At 44.0% G+C, this 24048-nt stretch overlaps 1 protein-coding gene across 2 annotated transcripts in view, besides 2 other annotated features; it reads right to left on the bottom strand.

Annotated features, from left to right (window-relative positions):
• Positions 1-12249, bottom strand: part of GORASP2 (golgi reassembly stacking protein 2) — a 38654-nt gene extending 26405 nt beyond the window's left edge. Inside the window, exon 1 of one of the 2 annotated variants that reach the window (NM_001201428.2) lies at positions 12166-12249. Coding sequence is in view for 1 of the 2 variants with exons in the window: in NM_015530.5 (NP_056345.3) it covers positions 11323-11385 (63 nt within the window). In the remaining variant the exon portion in view is untranslated. Of the gene's footprint in view, positions 1-11322; positions 11474-12165 lie in introns of those variants that run through there. The other variant, NM_015530.5, reaches the window with a different exon arrangement.
• Positions 10995-11694: a silencer, noted in NCBI's record as "silent region_12094". NCBI's record gives its function as "represses an Ori minimal core promoter by ATAC-STARR-seq in GM12878 lymphoblastoid cells {active_cell/tissue: GM12878}" and the evidence as "EXISTENCE:reporter gene assay evidence [ECO:0000049][PMID:35858748]".
• Positions 23253-23547: a silencer, noted in NCBI's record as "tiled region #14; K562 Repressive non-DNase unmatched - State 7:EnhWF". NCBI's record gives its function as "represses a minimal TATA promoter and a strong SV40 promoter by Sharpr-MPRA in K562 cells {active_cell/tissue: K562}" and the evidence as "EXISTENCE:reporter gene assay evidence [ECO:0000049][PMID:27701403]".

The raw sequence follows: 24048 nt of genomic DNA, 5'->3' as shown, positions 1-24048 counted from the left end.
ATAAAAATAAAGTTAGGAAAAGCTGTCCTACAAGATACCGTTAATACTTCTGCTCCATTAAGTTCCTGGTAAAAAAAAAAAAAAGCAATTCACTTCTTGACTTTTCCCTCCACTTCTGATCCCGTATCATTAAAAGTTTTACCAGATTTAGCCTAAACTTTTCTTTTCTTTTAACACACAGACCTAACTATTGCTTTCCAGTGAAGCATTCATCTCTTCTTCCAGGATTAAGAATGTTCAACTACTACTACTTATGCTAGGTTTGGGTCATTTCACATTACCTCTTTCTCTCTTTAATTCTTCACTTGGGGGAGGGAGGAATGGCAGAGTAAGAGGGAAGAAGTGTTTGGGTGGAGTTGGGTGTCAGGGGGCATTCTCCCAACTGCACTGGTCTACTGACTTACATACCTTCAGCTGAGGTATACAGACCTTCTACCTTAAAGTAACAAAGAAAGTAAACCACAAGGCAACTTGCAGCACACAGGATATCACCAGACTACATGCTGCACTAGGTGATACACAAAGACACACTTATCCATGTTTCTGGCTGATATGTAAATTATCTTCCTTAAGTTTTCTGACAATGAAAATTATACCATAAAATTGGCTTACTAGAATGTATAACTGTCTCCTTTTTATTACTACACCATATATTCCTTTTCCACACATAAAATGCAGAAAAGCCCCATTGAATGACTATCTACACTATCATCTCTTCTAACACTCTCCCTCTTGTACTGCTTTTAAAAACAGTGGAGATGTTAAACAAGACTAGAAAATAAATTCAATCCAAGCAATACCTAAATGATGACCCACCTCAACTATAAACATAAATCCTCATGCACTATATGTGTGCGTAGGTGATCAAAATGATGGGAAAAGATCTGGGAATGTGATATAATAAAAAGAAATCCTAAATCCTCCGTGGTTATAATAAGCATTTTTTTTAGTGAGGAGGGTGAGGGAGCTATAGTAGTCCCTGTTATCTGCAGGGGATATGTTCCAAGACCTCCCATGGATGCTTGAAATTGCAGAGTACCAAACCCTACATATACTGTACTATATTTTTTCCCATATGCAAACACTTATCATAAAGCTTAATTTATATGCTAGGCATAGTAAGAGATTAACAACAATAACTAATAATATAAAACAGAACAATCTACCACTTATGAACTGTTTATTTCTGGAATTTTCCATCTGATATTTTTGGACCTCAGTTGACCAAAGGTAACTGAAGCCACAGAAAGTCAAACTGTGGATAAGGAGAGACTACTATATTCTATGTCTGCAAATGGGTAAGTTTCCTTATTTGGGTCTTGACACAAATGTGTGGTAAATAATTTTGCAGTAGACTAGAAGAGTTCAAGCCTCACCTGCTAAAACATTGTCTTCACATGTTCTTCCAAAACAAAGCAAAGTACATGTTCTCCTGACACTAACCCTGACATAATTTTTAACATTCAAGCAATTTAAAATAAAATTGTAATGGCAACTAAAAGGAAATAAAAACCCATTATTGCATAATAGTTTTCCAGAAAAGATCTGTACATTAGAAAAACAACATCGAAAGAAATTGAAGTTTGCTCTAAAAGAAGCAAAAACTCTGACAACTTCTGAACTCATTTTATATTCTTCAAATAACTTAGGGATTTGTTTCTTAGGGAAAGAAAACTTGCTCTGTGACCTTGGGCAAATCAGATTAACTTCTCTGTGCTTTTTTTCTTTTTTTTGAGATGGAGTTTCCCTCTTGTTCCCAGGTTGGAGTACAGTGATGCAATCTCAGCTCACAGCAACCTCCGCCTCCTGGGTTTAAGTAATTCTCCTGCCTCAGCCTCCCAAGTAGCTGGGATTACAGGCGCCCACTGCCATGCCTGGCTAAGTTTCTGTATTTTTTAGCAGAGACAAGGTTTCACCATGTTGGCCAGGCTAGTCTCAAACTCCTGACCTCAGGTGATCACCGCCTCGGCCTCCCAAAGTACTGGGATTACAGGCCTGTGCTTCTTTTCTTTAGCTGCAAAAATGAGGAGGCTAACTATGTAATCTGTAAGCCTGAATGACCCACCATGAAATAAGTCTAACTGTTGCTAAGCTATCTATAGATTCTACAATGAAGAAAATCAAATACAGCAAGATCATTTTAATTGCATAGACTCTTTCAGCCATTTTAATTAATGTGTGTAGTAACACTGTAGCAATGCAATGAAAAGGATACTGGCACTCCCCGTTTAAAATTAAAAAACAATTTCCTTAAAAATGAGGATCAGAGGAAATTAACAGGCACCATTTATGTGTGTGCCTATATGACTAAAATTAATGGGTCAGATCTGACCTCAAACTTACGTTTTAAACAGCAGTAAAGTACAGGTTAGGTACACAGACAAAAAGTAACTGTTGCTTAATCAAATAAAAATACTAAAAATGTTTACAACTACAGTAGTATATTTTAGCTAGTATTGCCACGATACTGGTTCTACACAATAATGCAAATGCTAGTAATAAAGGCATCAGCTAACATTTGAATCCTTATTATATTCCACATTCTAAGTTAAGTGCTTTACATGGAATATCTCATTTAACCCACAGGATAATCAAGGAGGTAGATAGCGTTGTTTTAAGAAAGAGATTTAATAATGCTCAATTGTTTTCATTATTTTCATACACAGTATCTAATGTGTTTTTTAGTGGAAAAGGTAGAAGTGGCTCTGCTATTATCTGCACTTTTCAGATACAAAGACTGAAGCTTTTCAAAGCAGTTCAAAGGGTTGCTCAAGGAAACAGAATGAAGTGATAGAGCTGGCACTAGAATCCAGTTCCCAAAGGTGGTCTCTGGTGGTTGACTATGATAGTTTCTCAATGTACTCATGTCCACAAAGATAACAAGATTCTTTCCTTCTGTCTTTATTTTTTTTAGAGACAGGATCTCACTTTACTGTCTAGGCTGGTCTCAAACTCCTGGCTTCAAGTAATACTCTGCCTCGGCCTCCCAAAGTGTTAGGATTACAGGTGACAGTCACTGTACCAGGTGCTTCCTCCTTTGTTTCCCTCTTTCCCTTCCCTCCCTCCTTCCCTCTCTCTTTCTTTTTCTTTCTCAAGCTCTCAATATTTTGCCACGGCTACTCTTGAACTCCTGGGCTCAAGCAATCCTTCCACCTCAGCCTCCTGAGTACCTGGGACTACAGGCACATGCCACAAAGCCTGGATTTTACTTTTATTTAATTAATTAGGGCAGGGATGTGGCTCACAGCTATAGTCCCAGCACGTTGGGAGGCTAAAGCAGGAGGATCACTTGAGCCCGGGAGTTTGAGACCAGCCTGGGCAATGTGGCGAGACCTTGTCCCTTCAAAAAATCAGCCAGCTGTGGTGGTACGCACCTGTAGTCCCAACTACTTGGAAGGCTAGGGAGGGAGAACTGCTGGAGCCCATGAAGTCGAGGCTGCGGTGAGCTGGGACTGTGACACTGCACTCCAGCCTGGGCAACAGAGCAAAACCGGGTCTCTAAAAATTTTTTTTTTTTTGTGATGGAGTCTCACTCTGTCGCCCAGGCTGGAGTACAGTGGCACCATCTCGGCTCACTGCAACCTCCACCTCCAGGGTTCAAGCGATTCTCCTGCCTCAGCCTCCTGAGTAGCTGGGATTACAGGCACGCGCCATCATGCCGGTCTAATTCTTGTATTTTTTGTAGAGAGGGGGTTTCACCATGTTGGCCAGACTGGTCTTGAACTCCTGACCTCGGTGATCCACCCGCCTCAGCCTCCCAAAGTGCTGGGATTACAGGCGTGAGCCACCGCACCTAGCCTTAAATTTTTTTTAAAAAAATTAACGAATTAATTAATTAATTTTAGAGACGCTGCTGTTACCCAGGCTGGAGTGCAGTGGTGTGAGGATAGCTCGCTGCAGCCTCAAAGTCCTTGGTCAAGTGACAATTTTGCTTTTATTGAGACCGGATCTCATTATGTTGCCCAGCGTGGTCTTAAACTCTTGGGCCCCCACCTCACCTCAGTCTCCTGATTGGAGTAGCTGGGATTACAGGTGCACACCATTATGCCCGGCTTAAGCTTCCTTATTTCTGACAATGTGCTTGAGCCTTCTCTCATTGATGCTTAAAAGAGAGAACAAAACCCCAGAATAATTATCTTCATGCTACAGTAAATTTATTTGCAATGCCAACAGGGAAATGTACAGTCTCTCAAAGTAACTACTTAGGACTAGGTGTGGTGGCTCATAAGTGTAATCCCAACACTTTGGGAAGCCAAGACGAGAGGATCGCTTGAGCCCAGGAGTTCAAGACCAGCCTGGGCAACATAGAAAGATCTCTCTACAAAAAAATTTTAAAATTGGCTAGACGTGGCAGCATATGCCTGTAAGCTACTCAGGAGGCTGAGATAAAAGGATTAATTGAGCCCAGGAGTTCAAGGCTGCAGTGGGCCATGACCACACCACAACACTCCAGCCATAGTGACAGAGTGCGACCCTGCTTCAAAAAAAAAAAAAAAAAAAAGTCAGTTTCAAAAGCACATATCAAACTTTCTATTTCCTAGTTTACATTAGTATTTTATAGTGAATCAATCAATATATATAATCCTTTCAATAGAATATTAAAGTAAGCAAAATGAACACACTGATGTTAACGGTTATTCTAAGCTCAATTTTTATAAAATTTGCAGAGGAATTATTAAAAAGCCCTGTTAGTATCTGACCCAGAAGGCAGAAGAATCAGTGTTGTACACTCTACTACTTACTGAAACCATAATTAACCACTAACAGCAGATCTCCCCCAGTGAGAATCCTGAGGATGATAGCGCAGGCATTAAAACACACCTCATCACATAAGTACGAAAGCATATACAGGCCGGGCGCAGTGGCTCACGCCTGTAACCCCAGCACTTTGTGAGGCTGAGGTGGGTGGATTGCTTGAACTCAGGAGTTCGAGGGCAGCCTGGGCAACATGGCAAAAACCCATCTCTACCGAAAATACAAAAAATTAGCTGGGCATGGTGGTGTGTGCCTGTAGTCCCAGCTACTGGGGAGGCTGAGAGGGGGGAGGATCACTTGAGCCTGGGAGTTGGAGGCTGCAGTGAGTGGAGACTGTGCTACTCATTCCAGCCTAGAGTGAGACCCTGTGTCAAAAAAAGAAAAAAAAAAAAAAAAAAGAGGTGGGGCGTTGGGGGTGCTGGGTGCAGTGGCTCCCACCTGAAATCCCTACACTTTGGGAGGCTGAGGTGGGCAGATGACTTGAGGTCTGAAGTTCTAGACCAACCTGGCCAATAAGGTGAAACCCTGTCTCTACTAAAAATACAAAAATTAGTTGGGTGTGGTGGTGGGTGCCTATAATCCCAGCCACTTGGGAGGCTGAGGCAGGAGAATCACTTGAACTGGAGTGGCGGAAGTTGCAGTGAGCTGAGATCGCGCCACTGCACTCCAGCCTGGGTGATAGAGCAAGACTCCATCTCAAAGAAAAAAAAAGTGTATATAATCAACATGAAACTACTAATTTGTTCAAGGCCTATTAATATTAGAAAAAGTTTATGTTCAATGATATAATTCCTAAAAGTATCCCAAGATTTATATACATTGTATTCCATGGCTTCAATAAACTGAGACATCCTGATTCCTACATTTGAAAGCAATTTAAAAGAATGTTTATTAAACAACTTCTGGGCCTTTTATTAGAAAAGATCAATTTTGGGCCTGGCACAGTGGCTCACGCCTGTAATACCAGCACTTTGGGAGGCCGAGGCCTGTGGATCAGCTGAGGTCAGCAGTTCGAGACCAGCTTGACCAATAGGGTGAAAGCCCATCTCTACTAAAAATACAAAAATTAGCTGGGCACGGTGGCAGGAACCTGTAATCCCAGCCACTCTGGAGGCTGAGGCAGGAGAATTGCTTGGACTTCGGAGGCGGAGGTTGCAGTGAGCTGAGATTGCACAACTGCACTCCAGCCGTGGCAACAGAGCGAGACTCCATCTCACAAACAAACAAACAAACAAAAAAGAAAAAAAAGGAGAGATCAATTCTGGGGGCAGGGTCAGACTCTTCAGGTTTCACAATTATAACTTTATATATAGAAAACAATACCAAATAACCCTACTGTTTTCTTTTTACCCATTGTTTCCAGAATGAGTGAGAAGGGAGCCAGAGTGAGATTTCTGTGTTAGGGGATGAGGTAGGGCGTGGTGGCTAACACCTGTAATCCCAGCACTTGTCGGAGGTGGAGGCGGGTGGATCACTTGAGGTCAGGAGTTCGAGAACAGCCTGGCCAACATGGTGAAACCCCACCTCTACTAAAAATACAAAAATTAGCTGGGCGTGATGACAGGTGCCTGTAATCCCAGCTACTTGGGAGGCTGAGGCAGGAGAACCCGGGAGGTTGCAGTGAGCCGAGATGCGCCATTGTACTCCAGCCTGGGCAACAAAAGCGAAACTCCATCTCAAAAAAAACAAAACAAAACAACAACAACAACAACAAAAAAAAAAACAGGGTATGAGTTTCAAAAGTTTGAGAAAGACTGTTAGAAGAATAAAGAAGACAATGACTATTGAATATCAGAAATTAATTTTTTCAAAATAAGTACTAAATTGAAATCCCATCACAACAGGATTGCAGATAGGTTAGTTAGGCACCATTTAAAAAGAGCAGTACCTTTGGGAGACCTCATCTCTGACAAAATAGAAAAAAATATATAAAAAGAGCAGTTCCATATGATAGAAGATATGGTGTAGGCATTGCATTTTCTATAGAAGTAATTCCACTTGCAGTCACTTGCTTCTCTGAGAACACCTAAATGTTACCCAGTCTGCAGCAAATAGCTCAGAAGATAAAAACCTGTTATTACACTCGTGACACATTTCATGTCAATGACCCTTCCTTCAAAATATCCATCACCTCAAAATCTCTCCCAGAAGCAAGCATGAGAAAGAATGAAAATGCCATTTTCCATGTCTCCACACTCCACACAGTCTCCACACTGAATACTTGCTCCAGAAAGTATGCCCTCAGCTATTCCCCATCTCTTTTAAGTGTGGAACAGAATATGAATATTTTAATTTAAAAGCAGATCCTATAATAGGCATCTGTGAGGTCACTCCAAAAATTTAATTTTGTGAACTATGTCACTAATAATTTTTTAGAGAACCTTGTTTATTACCTTTCAGCTTTATTTTCCTGAGCACTCAAATGTACCTGCACATACACAGGGTGTTTGAAACACAATTTTGAGCGAATGTATAGCATTCTATCTGTGGTTAGGCCCTGATTTGTTTAACAATTTCTCACCTGTTGGATATTTTGGTTTAATTTAATTTTGAAAATGGTCTTGTTGGGTTCACTGGATAATTAATGGAAAATATAGGCAAAAATTTGATATTAAACATAGTTCACATGTAGGGGGTAACTTACAATAACTTCAAAAACTGAGAAGCCCTAACATTTTTCCTGCCTTACATTAGGATTGGAGGACCAAAATAAAAGTGCCATTCATAGTGAGCACAAATCTGACCCACTATATAAGGAAATCTGAAATGCTATTTTTTAAAAAAAGACTTCTACACAAATTTTTAAATCCTCCACTAGGAGTCCACTTCTTTTTTAAAAGTAATTTTGCATATCTACACTTTGGGTGACTATACAAGTATTTAATGATCACTTCAGAAATCCTAGAAAATATATTAAAGTTAAAAAAAAAGTCACCATCCACTAATAATTTTTTAGACAACCTTGTTTATTACCTTTCAGCTTTATTTTCCTAAGCACTCAAATGTACCTGCACACACACAGGGTGTCTGAAACACAATTTTGAGTGAATGTGTAGCATTCTATCTGTGTTTAGGCCCTGATTTGTTTAACAATTTCTCAGCTGTTGGCTATTTTGGTTGTAATGTTAACCTCTTAAGATAACTTTTGGCCATATAGTCCTTGAATACGTCATATTATTCAAAATCTTTGTGAAACATGGCTAAGGGGCGATGTTAGGCCCAGGAAAAAAAGGAGACTAAGAGAAATACTTCAACAGTATTTGCCTTTAGATGGTGGGATTACAGGTAATTCAGGTTCTTTGCTGTACTTTTTTACCACATCCAAATGTTCTCTAATGGACACATGTTGATGATCAGAAAACAATGTAGTTATTTACTAAAATAAAGATCAACATTTCTACAGACAGCTACCATTAAAATTCAATACAGTAATCTGGGAAAAGGATGTATGTTATGGGAAAACAAAAAGTAGGATTTAAGGTTGTAAATATGTACTTATAATAACAGAAGACTAGATAACCAAATGTTCAACACCAGGAGGTACTCCTTAACCAATCTATGGTACAAAAGACTACCGTGAGCTAACTGAAAGCATGAAGCAGATGGCCACTTGCTACTACAGAAAGACTGCCAAGATAGGTCAACAACTGAGAAGACTGAGGTGTGCAACAGCATGGATCATGATTACAAGGTAACAAAAAGAAAGAGAGAAGGGTGGAAGAAGAAGAGACTCTTTTTTTTTTGAAAAGAAGTCTCACTCTTTTTGCCTAGGCTAGAGTGCAATGGCACAATCTCAGCTCACTGCAACCTCCGCCTCCCAGGTTCAAGTGATTCTCCTGCCTCAGCCTCCCAAGTAGCTGGGATTACAGGTGTGCACTACCATGCCCGGCTAATTTTTTATATTTTTAATAGAGATGGGGTTTCACCATGTTGGTCAGGCTGGTCTCGAACTCCTGACCTCAGGTGATCCGCCCACCTCGGCCTCCCAAAGTGGGGATTACAGGTGTGAGCCACTGTGCGCGGCCAAAGAGACTTTTTTATAAGCATAAAATATATCTGAAAGGCTATGTAAAAAACTGTCCACAGTGGTTACTCTGGAGTGGGGATAAGAAGTTGGGTACACAATATGATCACAATCTGAAAATATGCACTCATACATACAGAACACATAAAAAGGAACTACACTGCTCATAGCAGAACTTCTGAATCCATTTAAAGGCTGTCCCCTAAATATTTTTAGATGGATATTGAAAAATAATGAAAAAAATGGAAAGCTCAATCTATCTGAATTATAGGGACTCATGAAATCAAAAGACAGCAGTGGATATAAATGTTATTATAATTGGTATTTCAAAACCCAGTCAATCATATTAAGTTTTTACTACAACAAGATTGGCCAGGGAATTGGTTATTCAAGAAAACTAACTTCTAATTAAATCGTTCTAGAACTTGTTGAATATGGGTGATTTTATTCAAAATTTTCCTGCCACAGTTACTCCAGTTTACAAGCTTGGTAATCTAACAATGAAATATATCGCTGTCCATTTAGGCAATAACAAATGAAAGGAAGACATTTTTACATGTTAAGATTTAACACAGCACTTTTCCCTCTAAAAACAAAGATAAGAAAACCAATTACAGAATCAGGGGCAGAGGGTCTTAGGAAGGCAGACACAAAATTCTCCTAAACTAGATCATTACTATTTTAAAGCTCTCTTTAGTAAAAGTCTAACTAAATAAGAATTATTTCATCGTGTGCAACATTAATGCTCCAGATGCAGATTGGTAACTAAGGTTGTCCCTAGTTTTTCTAAAAATCAGATGTATAGATTAATAACACATCTGCACTACTGAATATGTATGAATGCTGTTTCACTTGACTGCACTTACATAAAGAAAATACAAACTCATTTTATGTCGGAATGCAGTCACTAAGTTGGAATCCTTTTGATGTGTATGGCTTTCTTTCAAACACGCGACTTTTTTTTTTTTTTTTTGCTTATTAACACTAATGTGTTTTACTGAGTTTCCCTGAGTGCATGTATTATAAAAATATCATGAATCCCCAAGGATTCATGACCACAATCGGTCACTGTGAGAAACAGCTGGTAATACTGGGTAACATCCCAGGGTAGAGAACTCAAAATCAGACCAGATAATAGAAAGAAAAGCACAGCTTTCACCTCACATTTGGGAACTGACAATTCTCCTTCCATTTCCTCTCTCAGTGTGGCTCTTGGGTGTTTGGTTAGCAGAAGGGGATAGGAAGATAATACGGTTTATTTATAGGCTCCCTTTTCCTTTCGGGGAAAAAAAAAATCACCCTTTCCTACTAAGAGTATGGCAGAGGAGGGATTTTTAGTGTAATGGAAAGGCAATAGACACGATAATCCGGAAGATCAGAAAGATGATCTGTCTCAGCCCTATCACATAGACAGCTGGGCAATTTAAGAATGTGTCTCACCTAAAACATGGGACCCAGGGCAGGAAATGAAGGTAGCACCAGGAAGTGCACTCTCTTACTTTCAGTGAAAACGTTCTTGCCTGTGAGGAGCTAATATTGAGTGACACTCTATTACACCCCTAAATGGCGCTACACGCTGCGGCCACTCTGTTGACTGTTCATGTTAACACTCACACAGGTGTCACAGCAAACAACCATCAATGCTACTTCTAAAGTCGCCCGGTTCCATGAGGAAAAGACCACATGCTTTGTACCACCCAGGCCCAGGCCGTTCATAGGTAGGGGCTTAGCTGACGCCTTTTGAGATACTATGTTTCTCTGCGTCCTGGAAGTTAAGCTAGGGTTGTTTTCCTTTATATACTCCGATTTTTAAAAAAAATTTCTCTGCACTACCTCTTTACCACTGTGGATCTAAACCTTATAATCTAAACCACACCCTCAGCAATCGGAACAGAACGGAAGTTCCCACTCCAGGAAATCTTGAGAAGGTTTGGGAGGGTCAGGAGTGGCACGGGAAAGGAAAAGTCTGGTCAAAATCAAGTCTGTTTAAGTCCGTCGAACCTACTTCCAGGCCATTTGGTTTTCCGTCTCCTGCCCTGCTGGTCTTTCAGGCCACTCGGCCGGCGCCGAGGTGATTTAACACCTGCCGCCGCAGGCCCCGCCTCCGGACTGCGGGTCCGGATCCCTCTCCTAGGAAAGCGCAAAGGCTGCCTTCACAGTCACCACTTTGGAGACGTTGCCTCCGCGCCCTTCCTAACTTTGGAAGCTAAAAATGAGGGGGGGTGGAGGAGAGAGAAGGCCGTGCGGAAAAAGAGCAAGGTTGTCCCCCCTTCCCAGGGCCGCCCCCTGGCCGAGTCGCCGGCAGCCGCCTCCAGCTCCAGCCCGTCCTCCTACAGCCGCGGACCCCGTGCCCAGGGCGCTCCGCGGAGGTGGGATGCGAGCGGCCTCCGGAACCAGCCTCGACCAAGGCAGCGCCCGCGACCGCCGCTCCTTCGCGGGATCGGGCCTGGCTGCCCCGTGAAGGAGCCCATGGGGGCCTCCGCCTCCCCGCGGCCGGCCCCGCCTCCAGCCCGCAGCTCCCCGGCCGCCGTCGGAGCCCTTACCCGCAGAACGTGGTAGCCCTCGGTGCCCCCGCCCGGGATCTCGACGCTTTGCGAGGAGCCCATGGCGGCGGGCGATCGGTGTGGCCGAGCCGGGCTCCGCGCTGCTCCCGCCCCCAGCGCACCGCCTGCTCTAATCCTCCGCGTAGCACTTGGGACGTGGCACTCGCTGCCGCCGGAGAGCCGGGCCGCACAGCCCGCCGGGAGATCGTCTCTGCTGCAGCCCGGGCCGCTGCGACGCCGCAGACAGCGCCACCTGCCGCGAGCCACTGGAAGGGGCCCGAGCGCTCGCGGGCCGGGAGGGCGGAGAGGGAGGGCCGGAGGAGGACTGGGAGGCACCGCGTCGTGCTCGCGAGAGAACAGAAATGCGCTTCCCCCAGCTTTGGCGCCTTGCTACGGGGCCCTGGATTGGACTAGATTTATGCAGACGCGTTCCCGCTCGCCTGAAAGAACACATACTTGGTTGCAGGTCCCCCTGGTGGCCAGAGGCGGGGAAAGGGCTGCTGATGAACAGGAGCGAACTCAACACACACCAAGCTCTCTGTTCTCCGGGTGTGTAGGTATTTTCCCAAACTGTACAGCTGAGGGGAATAGTGGCCTCCTGTGGGCTGCCTAGCATCTGCTCAGCTAAATTTTATAAAAGGAAACGCTCCCTTTATAAAACAGTAGTCTCACAGAGTCACCTACCAACTTCTTTTTTGGTTTGGGTTTGTTTTTTTTTCTTCCTCCCTAATTGTGAGAATAAGATTAGAGGATTGGTCATAATCAGAGCGATGCCAGCGTGGGAAGCACGGTTGGATTTCCCTGGCATTCCACCACCTGCTGCTGCTCGGTTCCCCGTCCTACCTCCTTCAGGTAGCCAGGTCGTATTCATGCTTATTCCGTTGTCGTATTCCGTTGCTGCTTTTGCCCCTTACGTGTACTCCCTCTGAAACCCCTAGTTGCTTTGTGGTCAGTTGGACTGATGTTGCGTCAACCAGGTATTATGTGGATTCCTATGTGATGCAATGTAAAGTACGTGCTATCGCCCATGAAGTATTCTAGCCCAAGGTGGTTAACTTGCCTCTATGGCATCTTGAGTTTGATGTTTACAGGAAGTAAGGGGAATTGAGGAGCAAGTAAAATGACACCACAGGGAACCAGGCAAATACAGGAAGTGGGCCTTCCTTCAGGACAGCTGGCCAGTTCTCTTTGTCGAGTCAGAGTCCTATGAAAGGGCCTATGCCAGATTAAAAGGAACCCGAAGAATATAACCAAGAGACACATTGCAAGGGCTTGAGTTGGGGGCCAACTTGGAGAAATAAGCGTAAAGGACATTTTTGGTTCATTTGGAGAAATTTGAATATGTACTGAGTATTAGAAGAGTAGTTATTCACATGGAAACGTGGAAATTATTGTCTTTTTTAAAAGCTGGTTACAAGACGGGATGTGTCTGTAGACAAAATGAAAAACATGTCCTCAAAATACAGATTAATATGTATGTATGCATATGAAGATGTGGGAGGAGAATATGAACCAAGGGTTACAGTGGTGATCTCTGGGTGGTGACAGAGATATTTTATTTTTTGTTTTGGCTGGTTCCATATTCTATGATGCTCATGAAGTGCTTTTGTAATAAGAAAATATTATTTAAAATTTAAAAATAATTTTCTTTGCTATCGGTAAGTGAATAGCAGATTTTTAGGAGGCCTAATAAATCCATAAATCCATAAATGAAATCTCCAGTTATTAGGCTCCTCAAGGACAGGGTCTGCAGTGGAGTTGGCTCTATGTTCTTGATATTTACCAGAATGCCTAGCAGCTAATTCAACAAATTAATACATTTAATGCAAGAGAATAAATGGAAGAACTAGATCTAATTATAATGTTCTCATTCTGCTTGGCAATTATAACCCTCTTTATGATGGAAGCTGCTGCCATGTTCAGTGGTCAAAATTTTTGGACCAGTTGTCTCCCATATGTCTGATGGCAGCCGCGGCCTATAGAACCCAGGCTGTGGATCGTTGGTGGTCCATGGGCAAGTCCAGCCCTTCCTTAGAGCTGTAGTGTATGTTTCAGCCTCATGAGTGGCTGCTTGTTATTCTCCACACAAGCCATTTACTTTCTTACCTTCTTGATTTTATTCATGCTATTCTCTACTTCTGGAATGCCCTTCCTTACATTTTCCACTTAAAAAATCCTAACTTTGAAAAAATCCTAATCCTTTAAGTCCCATCTCAAATGTTACTTATTTATCCTTAAGGTCAGTGTGACTCTCTCCTTGCCATGAAACAGTTCCTTCATTTCTATGACATCATCGTCATCATCACAGGCCTGTCTTCCACCATTCGTGGTCCATTCATTCAGAGCAAGGATCATATTTTTTTTTTCCTTCCTTCCTTCCTTCCTTCCTTTCTCTCTCTTTTCTTCTTTCTTTCTTTCTCTCTTTCTTTCTCTCTCTCTCTCTCTCTTTCTTTCTTTCTTTCTTTCTTTTCTTTCTCTCTTTCTCTTTCCCTCATTCCCTCGCTCCCTCCCTTCCTTCCTTCTTTTTTTTCCTTTCTTTCTTGTGAAATGGGTCTCACTCTGTCTCCCAGGCTGCAGTGCAGGGGTGTGATCACAGCTCACTGCAGCCTCCACCTCCTGGGCTCAAAATCATCCCTACCTCAGCCTCCCGAGTAGCTAAGACTACAGGCACGCACTACCACACCCAGCTAATTTTTTTGATTTTTTGCAGAGACGACGTCTCATTATGCTGCCAGGCTTGTTTCGAACTCCTGGGCTCACATGATTCTCCCACCTCAGTCTCCCAAAGTGCTGGGATTATAGGTGTGAGCCACCACACCCAGCCGATCATGTTTTTTCATCTTGAGATCCCCAGTTCCTGGTTGAGTATTGGGAACATGGTAGTAGTGTTTATTGATTTGAATTGAATGTGTGTAATGAATAGCTTCAAAGCCTTTTTTTCAGAATCAGTTAGTAAGTGACCTCTGTGGCTACTATTTGTGTCTCATCAAAATCTGTGGGTTTTTTTTCTTTTTTTTCCTAATTCCCAGGGTGATGGTAAAAACCCATGTTATTTCTTTAGCAGCAGTTGGTGGAGGGTGTGAGGGTGAGGTACAGGGCCCACCTGGTTTGGGACTGAAAAAATGTGAGAATGATTGCTCCATTTTTCCTGGTGCCAGTTGTTTCCTCTTTTAGTTGGAGAATACGCTCCAACAGAAGGCAAATAGTAAAATCTCAAGGATATTGCCAAAGCTAATATAAATAATACAACATGATGGAGGGAACACGTGGTAGATTATTGTCAAGTCAGCTTCAATTGGAGTAAGAATCTGCTGCAGGCAGGTTGGTATTTTGAAACATCAGAGGCAGCAGAAAAGTGAAGTCCAACAGAAGCAAATGTCTACAGGCTAAAAAACCGGAAGTAATCTATTCTTCTGGAAGAAGTATCTGGTACTCAATTTTGTGTGTGTTCTGAGTTCCATTAACATTAATTCTGAGTTCTTCCTTCCCCTCCCTTCCCTTCACCTCCCCTCCCCTCCCCTCCCGTCTTTCCTTCTAATAGAGTCTCTCTCTGTTGCCCAGGCTGGAGTGCAGTGGTATAATTTCAACTTGCTGCAACCTCCACCTCCCAGGTTCAAGCAATTCTTGTGTCTCAGCCTCCCAAGAAGCTGGGATTACAGGCATGCGCCACCATGCCCAGATAATTTTCATATATTTAGTAGAGATGGGGTTTTGCGGTGTTGGCCAGGCTGGTCTCAAACTCCTGGCCTCAAGCAATCTGCCCACCTCAGCTTCCCAAAGTGTGAGCCACCACACCTGGCCAATTCTGAGTTCTTGTAAATAAGTTGTTCATGATGGAGGGATCATTTTTATCATACACATTGAATATCCCTTATCTGAAATGCTTGAGACCAGAAGTGTTTTGGATTTTGGATTTTGGAACATTACTGGTTGAGAATCTCTAATCCAAAAATCCAAAATCCAAAGTGCTCCAATGAGCATTTCCTTTGAGTGTTATATCAGTACTCAAAAAGTTTCCAATTGGAGCATTTTGGATTTTTAGATTATTAATACTCAGCTTGGTATTGGTTAGTGCAGCCTTATCTTTTTGCCTTCAGACTACCCTGAGAAAGTTTGGTTCCTACCATATTTGAATAAGAACCACATTGGATAGGGCAGATGAGAATCTCCTAACCTAGCCTGTTTTGCTGAGGGAGCTAACCACATGAGACCACATGAGAGACCATGTTATGTGTCATGCACTCTCAGTCACAGCTGACTGGACTAGAGGGAAACCCTGATATACAGGCAGCCAATACCCACACTGAATGAGGTGGCCTTTAGAAAAGGTTCTCCCCCCACAAGTGGATGGTAGTGACCAGCTACACCAATCAGGTTTTCTCTCTGGGGACTTGGAACTGGGAAATACAAGGAGACACTCCATCAGTGTATATTTATTTGCATATTAGAATGTAAGCTCCATTAGGGCATGGACTTTGCCTGAGTGTTTACTACTGTGCTCTTAGTACTGACAAAGAATTGGCACATAATAGTTAATAAATGGCTGTTGAACGTATGAATGGTCGTGTTTGTAGTCATGTTGATGGCAGTGGCGATCCGTATGGAGTGGCCATTGCAAGGACACCAGCTGTAGCGGGGGAGGTGTGGCCAGGGCTGTGCACTCGTTGGCCCGTGGGGGCCAGGAACAGTTGAATCCCAGTGGGAGCCCCCACGCCCTACCGAGTTGGTGGGGTGGGAGCCCACCAACTCCTGGGTGCAGCTGCAGCTGCCCAGCTATGGCTCCAGACCCAGGCATCCCTATGCTCTCAGGGGCTCAGGAAGCCTCCTTCCCCCACAAGCTCAGAAGTGCCTGCTCCCACTCCCTGGCCTCTCCCTATCCCTAGCACCCACTCTGGTGTGGAACACAGTTGTGGCCGAGCCCAGGTACTGGTGCAACCCAGCCAGGTGTGTGTATCCTTGGGGCAGTACTGAGGCACCAGCCCTCTGCTACCTCGGCCCCTTCAGACTTTGGGCACTAATGAGCATGGGAGGAAGGCTGGGGTGCTGAGGGCAGCTTGACGTGGGCCTGCAGACAGCCTGGGCACTGCAAATGGCCTGTTGATGGTGGCAGGAGGCAGACAGGTTCCTAGGTGGGAAGAAGCAGGTCCCTGGTGAAACCCCATCTTCAGGCCAGGCCTAAAACCTAGGGGCCTGGCTCCCAGTTCCAGGTGGAGTTCATGACCCAGAGTGAGAACTTCCTTGATGCCTTTTGGCCAGTTGGATGGTGCCTTTTCCATGAACCAATCAGCATGTACTTCCTCCCTTCTGAGCTCATAAAAACCCCAGACTCAGCCAGACTCAGAGACTCATCAGGATTACCTGCTTGTGGATAGGAGCTACCCACTTTGGGTCTCCTCTATACTCGTTGGGAATACCTGCCTATGAATAGGAGCTACCCACTTTGGGTCTCCTCTATACTCATTGGGAATACCTGCCTATGAATAGGAGCTACCCAGTTTGGGTCTCCTGTCTGCTGAGAGCTGTTTGGTTGCCCAATAAAGCTCTTCTCTGCCTTGATCACCCTCCAGTTGCCCATGCAACCTCATTCTTCCTGGATATGGGACAAGAACTTGGGACCCACCAAATGGCAGGAGCAAAAGGAGCTGTAACACTTCCCTGGCTGGTTCCCTGAGCTATGGTGGGAGCTAAAGGGCTGCAACACTATAGCTCTCCCACCCTCTGCTGGCACCAGACAGCTGCCCCATGCGATGGGAAGCAGCAGCGGGGCTGGGCTAGCCCAGGAACTGTGGCCCAGAGTGTGGCAGCAGGACTGAAAGAGCTGTAACACAAATGGGCTGAAACATGCCCCCCAAAACACACCCCCCCACTCACCATGCTGCGGGCAATGAGAAGGAGAGAAGAGCTGTGGCCCTTCTGGATGCCCAGACCTTGGGGCTCCCTGAGCAAGGGCTGTGACACACTGTAACACCTTCTTTGGCACTCTGTAGTTCCTGGCATCTCTGAGCTTTTAGGTGCCACTGGACTCCCCTTGTCTAGATGCTGGTGCCCACAGTGGAAGCCGCTTGTGGTATATCGGGTCCAGCTGCAGCGTCACATGGAGCCAGCGCCTGTGCCAGTGCCTGGAGCTGCCCACCCTGCCACAGCAGCCAGTGTGCCTGGCTGTGCAAAGAGGCAAGAACCTGTGCTCACTCGTTCACATACCCCTCACTGCTCCACACCTGCCTCAACCTTGTCAAGTGTGGGATCCAGGCCGGCAGCAAAGCAAGTGTAGCCTGCCAGGCCAAGTGGGCAGGACAAGCCCAGCAGGCGCAAGCAAAACTCAAGCAGAGGTGCTGCTGATCACAGAGGTTTCCAGCTGGCAAAGCAACACCCTAAGGATCCTGTGACAATGTCAACAGAAAAGCACTAGAACAGTGGTTCTTAAGCTGGGGTATGTATCAGGTTCACCAGGGAACCTGGTAAAAATACAGAAGTCCCAGTGCTAGTCTACTTTGATGACCCTGGTCCCAGTATTTGTCATTAGTTTCCAGGTGATTCTGATACACACGTTTGAGAACTTCCCCATTAGAGCAATGTTTAATAAACTTCTGCTTTTTTGTGGGTAATCAGATAATGAATAAGAATCTCTAGAGCTGGGAGGAATCCTCTTAGCAATCAGACTTGACCACAAAGACCCAAATTGTGCTCAGTTTCTTACATATCTTTGTTGTTTCCATCACCTTTATTGTCAAATTTTTCTTTGTCTTTATCTATTTTCTAGACAAAATTTTGATTTTGGAATAATTTTCAATTAAATAAAAATTTGGGTAGAGACAGGGATCTTGCTAGTTTGCCCAGGCTGGTCTCGAACTCCTGGCCTCAAGTGATCCTCCTGCTTTGGCCTCCCTAAGTGCTGGGATTACAGGCATGAGCCACCACCCCCAGCCTGGAATAATTTTAGATTTAAGGAAAAGTTGCAGCCAGTACAGAGAGTTCCCATAGGTCCCCTTTACCCAGTTTCTCCTATTGTTAACATCTTACATCAACCACAGTATATTTGTTAAAACCAAGAAACCAACATTTGTACATTATTAGTTAAACTCTAAACTTTATTCAAATTTCACAGGTGTTTCTACTAATGTTCTTTTTCTGTTGCAGGATTCAGTCCAGGCCTACATCACAGTTAGTTGTCATGTCTCCTTTGTCTTCTCTGGTTTGGGACTGTGTCTCAATCTTTCCTGTTTTTCATGGCCTTGAGAGTTTCAAAGAGCACTGTTCAGGTTTTGTTTCTTTGTTTGTTTATTTTTGAGAGGGAGTGTCTCTCTGTCACCCAGGCTGGAGTGCAGTGGCTCAATCTCTCAGCTCACTACAACCTCCACCTCCCGAGTTCAAGTGATTCTCCTTCCTCAGCCTCTGAGTAGGTGGGACTACAGGCATGCGCCACCATGCCCAGCTAATTTTTTTATTTTTAGTAGAGACAGGGTTTCACCATGTTGGTCAGGCTGTGCTCAAACTCCTGACCTCAAGTGATCCACCTGCCTTGGCCTCCCAAAGTACGGAGACTACAAACGTGAGCCATCACGCCTGGCCCTGCTCAGGTATTTTAAAGAATATACCTCCTGTTGGGTATGCCTGTTGTCATGATTAGACTGAGGTTATGGATTTTGGGGAGGAATACCACAGAGGTGAAATGCCCATGCTTATCAGGTCATATCAGGAGTATGTGCTATTAACATGACTTATTAATGGTGATTTTAACCTTGATCATTAAGATGCTGTCCATTTTAATAGTAAAGTTACTATGTTCCCCTTTTTCCTATGGAAGCAAGTCACCGTGTCTAGGCATCCTAGAGGGTGTGTGTGTGTGTTGGGGGAGGGGAATTAAGCTGCACCTCCTGAAGGGGGTTATCTATGCAAATAATTTGGGGTGGGGTGTGGTGACTCACACCTGTAATCCCAGCACTTTGGGAGACTGAGGAGAGAGGATCACTTGAGGCCAGGAGTTTGAAACCAGCCTGGGCAACATAGGAAGACCCTGTCTCTATAAAAAATTTAAAAATTAGCCCGGCATGGTGGCGCACACCTGTAGTCCCAGCTACTCAGGAGGCTGAGGTGGGAGGATCACTTGAGCCTGGAAGACTGAGGCTGCAGTGAGCCGTGACCAGTGCCATTGCATTCCAAACTGCAACAGAGTAAGACCCAATCTCCAAAAAAAAAAAAAAAAAAAAAAAACCCAACTTTGGGAGGCTGAGGCGGGCAGATCACAAGGTCTGGAGTTCAAATCCAGCCTGGCCAACATAGTGAAACCCCATCTCTACTAAAAAATACAAAAAAAAAATTAGCTGGGCATGGTGGCACACACCTGTAGTCCCAGCTACTTGGGAGGCTGAGGCAGAAGAATCACTTGAACCTGGGAGTTGGAGGTTGCAGTGAGCTGAGATCACGCCACTGCACCCCAGCCTGGGCAGCACAGCGAGACTCTGTCTCAAAACAACAACAACAACAACAAAACAAACAAAAACACAACAATGACAAAAATAATTTGGAATTCTGTAAAGATTTTTGCCTCATCTCTCCCATTTATTAATTAATTAAATCACTTATTTGTATATCAATACGGGTTCATGTATATGTATTTTGTCTTTTGTTGGTTTTTTGTTGTTGTTGTTTGAGACAGATTCTCTCATTGCTGGTGGTAATGCAATATTTTGTAGCTAAATGGTACTGGCTTTGACCTGGGAAGCACTTTTCAGGTTGGCTTTTGTGTCCCTTTGACAGACCACCATTCTTTTTTAAAAAAAAAAAAATTGTGGTAAAATATACATACATAATATTTAATAGCTTAATCATTTCTACATGTACAGTTAAGCGGTATTAAATACATTCACATTGTTGTGGAATTATCCTTTTGTATTTTGAGCACGCCTGTACTTTCTGGCACTATAGGATGCTCAGGTTCATCTTGTATTTTTTCTTGCTCTAGCCCTAGAGTTAGCCATTTCTTTAAGGCACCCTGAATTCCTTAGAATGGAGAATGGTATTTAGAAACCAAGATTTGGCTTATTTTTTCATTCTCTTAGTGTAAATCACAGGGCAAAAGCTTTAAATTTTGATGAAGTCCAACTTACCAATATTTTCCATGGAATGTGCTTTTGGTTTTATATCTGAAAACTTATCACCAAACCAAAGGCCATGCAGATTTTCTTCTAAGTTTTCTTCTAGAAGTTTTACAGTTTTACATTTTATTTATAGGCCTATGATCCATGTTGACTTAATTTTTGTATAGGTGTGAGATATGTGTTTAGGTGGATTACTTTCACAGATGGATATCCAGTTTTCCCAGCACCATGTGCTGAAAAGACAATCCTTCCTCCATTGAATTGTCTTTGTCCCCCTGTCAAAGAGAATCTCTGGAGCTGGATACAATCTTCCCAGCAAGCAAACTCAATAAAAGGCCCAAATTTTACTGATATTCTTGTATTTCTTTGACATTTCCATCATCTTCATTAACATATATATATAATTATTATTATTATTTTGAGACAGAGTCTCCCTCTGTTGCCCAGGCTGGAGTGCAGTTGCACAATCTTGGCTCACCGCAACCTCCGCCTCCCGGGTTCAAGCGATTCTCCTGCCTCAGCCTCCCAAGTAGCTGGGACTGCAGGCGTGCGCCACCATGCCTGGCTAATTTTTTGTGTTTTTAGTAGAGATGGGTTTTCACCATGTTAGCCAGGATGGTCTTGATCTCCTGACCTTGTGATCCACCCACCTTGGCCTTCCAAAGTGCTGAGATTACAGATGTGAGCCACTGTGCCTGGCCACACATATATATATTTAACTAAAACCTCTATTACTCAAGGTAGGCTGCCCATCTGTTTTTTTGGGTTTTTTTTTTTTTTTTTTTTCAGATAAAATAATCTTCTTAACACAGCCTTCCTGGACCTGCCTCAAACTGTCTCCTTGCAGTTGAGTCCTTCTAGCAACTTTGCAGGTGCCTAATTTTAGGGAATAATTGCTTGGGTTAATTGTTACCTGTGGGTCCTGTGAAGATGAAAGATATTGGTAGGGTCAGTAATTACTGCAGTAAGAACACTATTCACCTTTTGATGCCTGCCTGACTTGTTTGATACTTCTTTAATTCCCCTTGATATTATGAAGAGGTAGAGAATGTAAACCAAAAATAAAATTTGAACCCCTGCAACCATCTGAATGGACTTCCTCCTCAGCCAGGGGACTCTAAAATTTCACCTGAAAGACTGGTTCAGGCCACGACTGGAAGTGGAGGTTGGACATGCCTCATTATTCCCCTCCAGCATTAACATCAACACAGACTGTCAGTCTGATAAGAAACATTTACAGTCTTCTCTCTAAAGCCTGCTACTTGGAGACTTCATCTGCTTGATAAAACCTAGGTCTCTACAACATCTTCCTAATCCAGATATTTCCTTCCTGTTGAAAATAACTATTTCAAGCAATTGCCAATCAGAATATGTTTAAATTTACCTGTGACCTGGAAGCCCCACCCTTGGAGTTGTCCTGTTCTTCCACATCAAACCAATGTAAATCTTCCATATATTGATTGATGTGTTATGTCTCTTTAAAATGTATAAAAGCAAGCTGTAACCCAACAACCATGAGCACATGTCCTGAGGACCTCTTGAGGCTGTGTCATGGTCATATCCTTAACCTTGGCAAAATCCACTTTATAAATTGATTGAGACTTGTCTCCGACACTTTTTGGTTTACAAAACCCATGAGCTGCACCAAATTACTTCCTCAGAATATGGAAGAAGTTGGTGTAGTTCCATATGGTTCTGGGCAATAGAGAGGAGCCTATCTTGCCATTTCAGGCAATTTATTTCTCCTTGCCCCCTCTGCTGTATCATGGGACAGTGTCAATCATGTTAAAGCATGATACATACAGTGATGTGATGTTAAGAGGTGATTGCTAAAGGTCTCTTGTCTAAAGGTCACATATTTCAAGAGGCTTTCCAGGCCTACAAAAGGCTTGGTAACACATTATTCCTTACTTCTCCTGGAAATTGCCCCAAGGGGAGAGCTCTGTTTCATGTTAAGATAAATTCTTTCCCCTTCCATGACACTGTTAACAGATGGTTTTCACTTGGAAGACACACACATCTGGGGCATATCTAGGATTATGCAAAACTCTCAGTTTGATAGCTGTGATTCAAGTCCTTTCTTAAGAAAGCGATAGCAGCAGGAGGCAGACAAATCCTAGGCAGACGGGGGAGCCCCCAGTGAGACCAAAGACAGTTTAAAGCCTGAAAGCCAAGCTACAAGTCTTGGATAAATCCACGGACTGGTGAGAATGCCTCTTCCCGCCTGGCATGCTTTCCTCTGATTGATCCCCCTGCTTTACCTATTTTACATATACCTAACCTTCTCTAATTGTTTTTTTACACTGTCATGCCCGTCTTTGAGTGGTGCCTTTGTTTTAGCCTTTTTTGAAACTCACAAACCAATCAGCACACACTCCCCATTCTGAGCTTGTAAAAGCCCTGGACCCAGCCACACTGAGGGAGAAACCATCTGACTTTGGGTAAGGGGCCACCCTCACATCTGCTCTCTGCTGAGAGTTGTTTTGTCACTCAATAAACTTCTTCTCTGCCCTCCTCACCCTTCGATTGTCAGCCTATCCTCATTCTTCTTTGACATGGGACAAGAGCTCAGGACCCACAGAACATAGGTACAAAGAAGCCTGTAACACTGTGACCCTCTGCCCTCTGCCAGCAGAAGGCAGCCGCCCCACGTGATAGGAAGCAGCGGTAGGGCGGAGCCAGCCCCAGAGCCATGGGCTGGAGCAGGGCAACAGAACTGATAGAGCTGTTAACATGCCGCCATCTGTTGGGCTGTGGATGGTGAGACTGAAAGGGCTATTAGCATGCTGTAACACCCCCTCTAGGGCTTTGGGGTTGCAGGCATCCCTCCCTGGGTGTCACCGACTTCCTTTCATCTGGATACTGGAGTCCACCGTGGAGGTGGCTTGCAACATGCCTGGTCCAGCCTCAAGCCCTGCACGGAGCCCGCTCCTGTGCTGGCACTTGGAATGGCTGGCTGGATCCTGTACTTGCTTGCTCACACACCCTCTCCCACCAGGGGCTGAGCCCGCAGTTGTGGCAGCCATGGAATTTGTGCTGGAATGCAAGCCAGGTGTGGCCCAGGTGGCTGAGTAAATGGAGCATCTCCTGTGGCAGACCAAGGCCCAAGCAAGGCCTGGGCAGGGGTGTCACTGGCTGGTGGTCTCTGGCTAGCAAAGCGACTGAGAAAAATCCTGCATCAAAAATGTATTGTAATGTAACTGGATGATAATACTATTATTACAGGAAAACTTTGAACCTGCTTTAGTGTGGAGAAAATGTCATTTGCAAATGATGCATTATTAAGTAGTAATATATTACTGATGTCACTGTAACTGTAATAGATCCATTGCCTTATGTGCATTGCGGTAGGCACCAGCCCCACAGGGTCAGTGGGTTTCTCCCCATGTGCGGAGACGAAAGAGTGTAGAAGACACAAGACAAAGAGATAAAAGAAAAGGCAGCTGGGCCCAGGGGACCACTACCACCAAGATGCGGAGACTGGTAGTGGCCCCAAATGCCAGACTGCACTGATATTTATTGGATACAAGACAAAGGGGCAGGATAAGAAGAGTGAGCCATGTCCAATAATAGGTAAGGCCACGTGGGTCACGTGTCCACTGGACAGGGGGCCCTTCCCTGCCTGGCA

Source organism: Homo sapiens, chromosome 2 (assembly GCF_000001405.40).
Source record: "Homo sapiens chromosome 2, GRCh38.p14 Primary Assembly".
NCBI lineage: Eukaryota > Metazoa > Chordata > Mammalia > Primates > Hominidae > Homo > Homo sapiens.
Note: the sequence above shows the minus strand (reverse complement) of the source record. Positions and strands in the feature narration are given on the sequence as shown.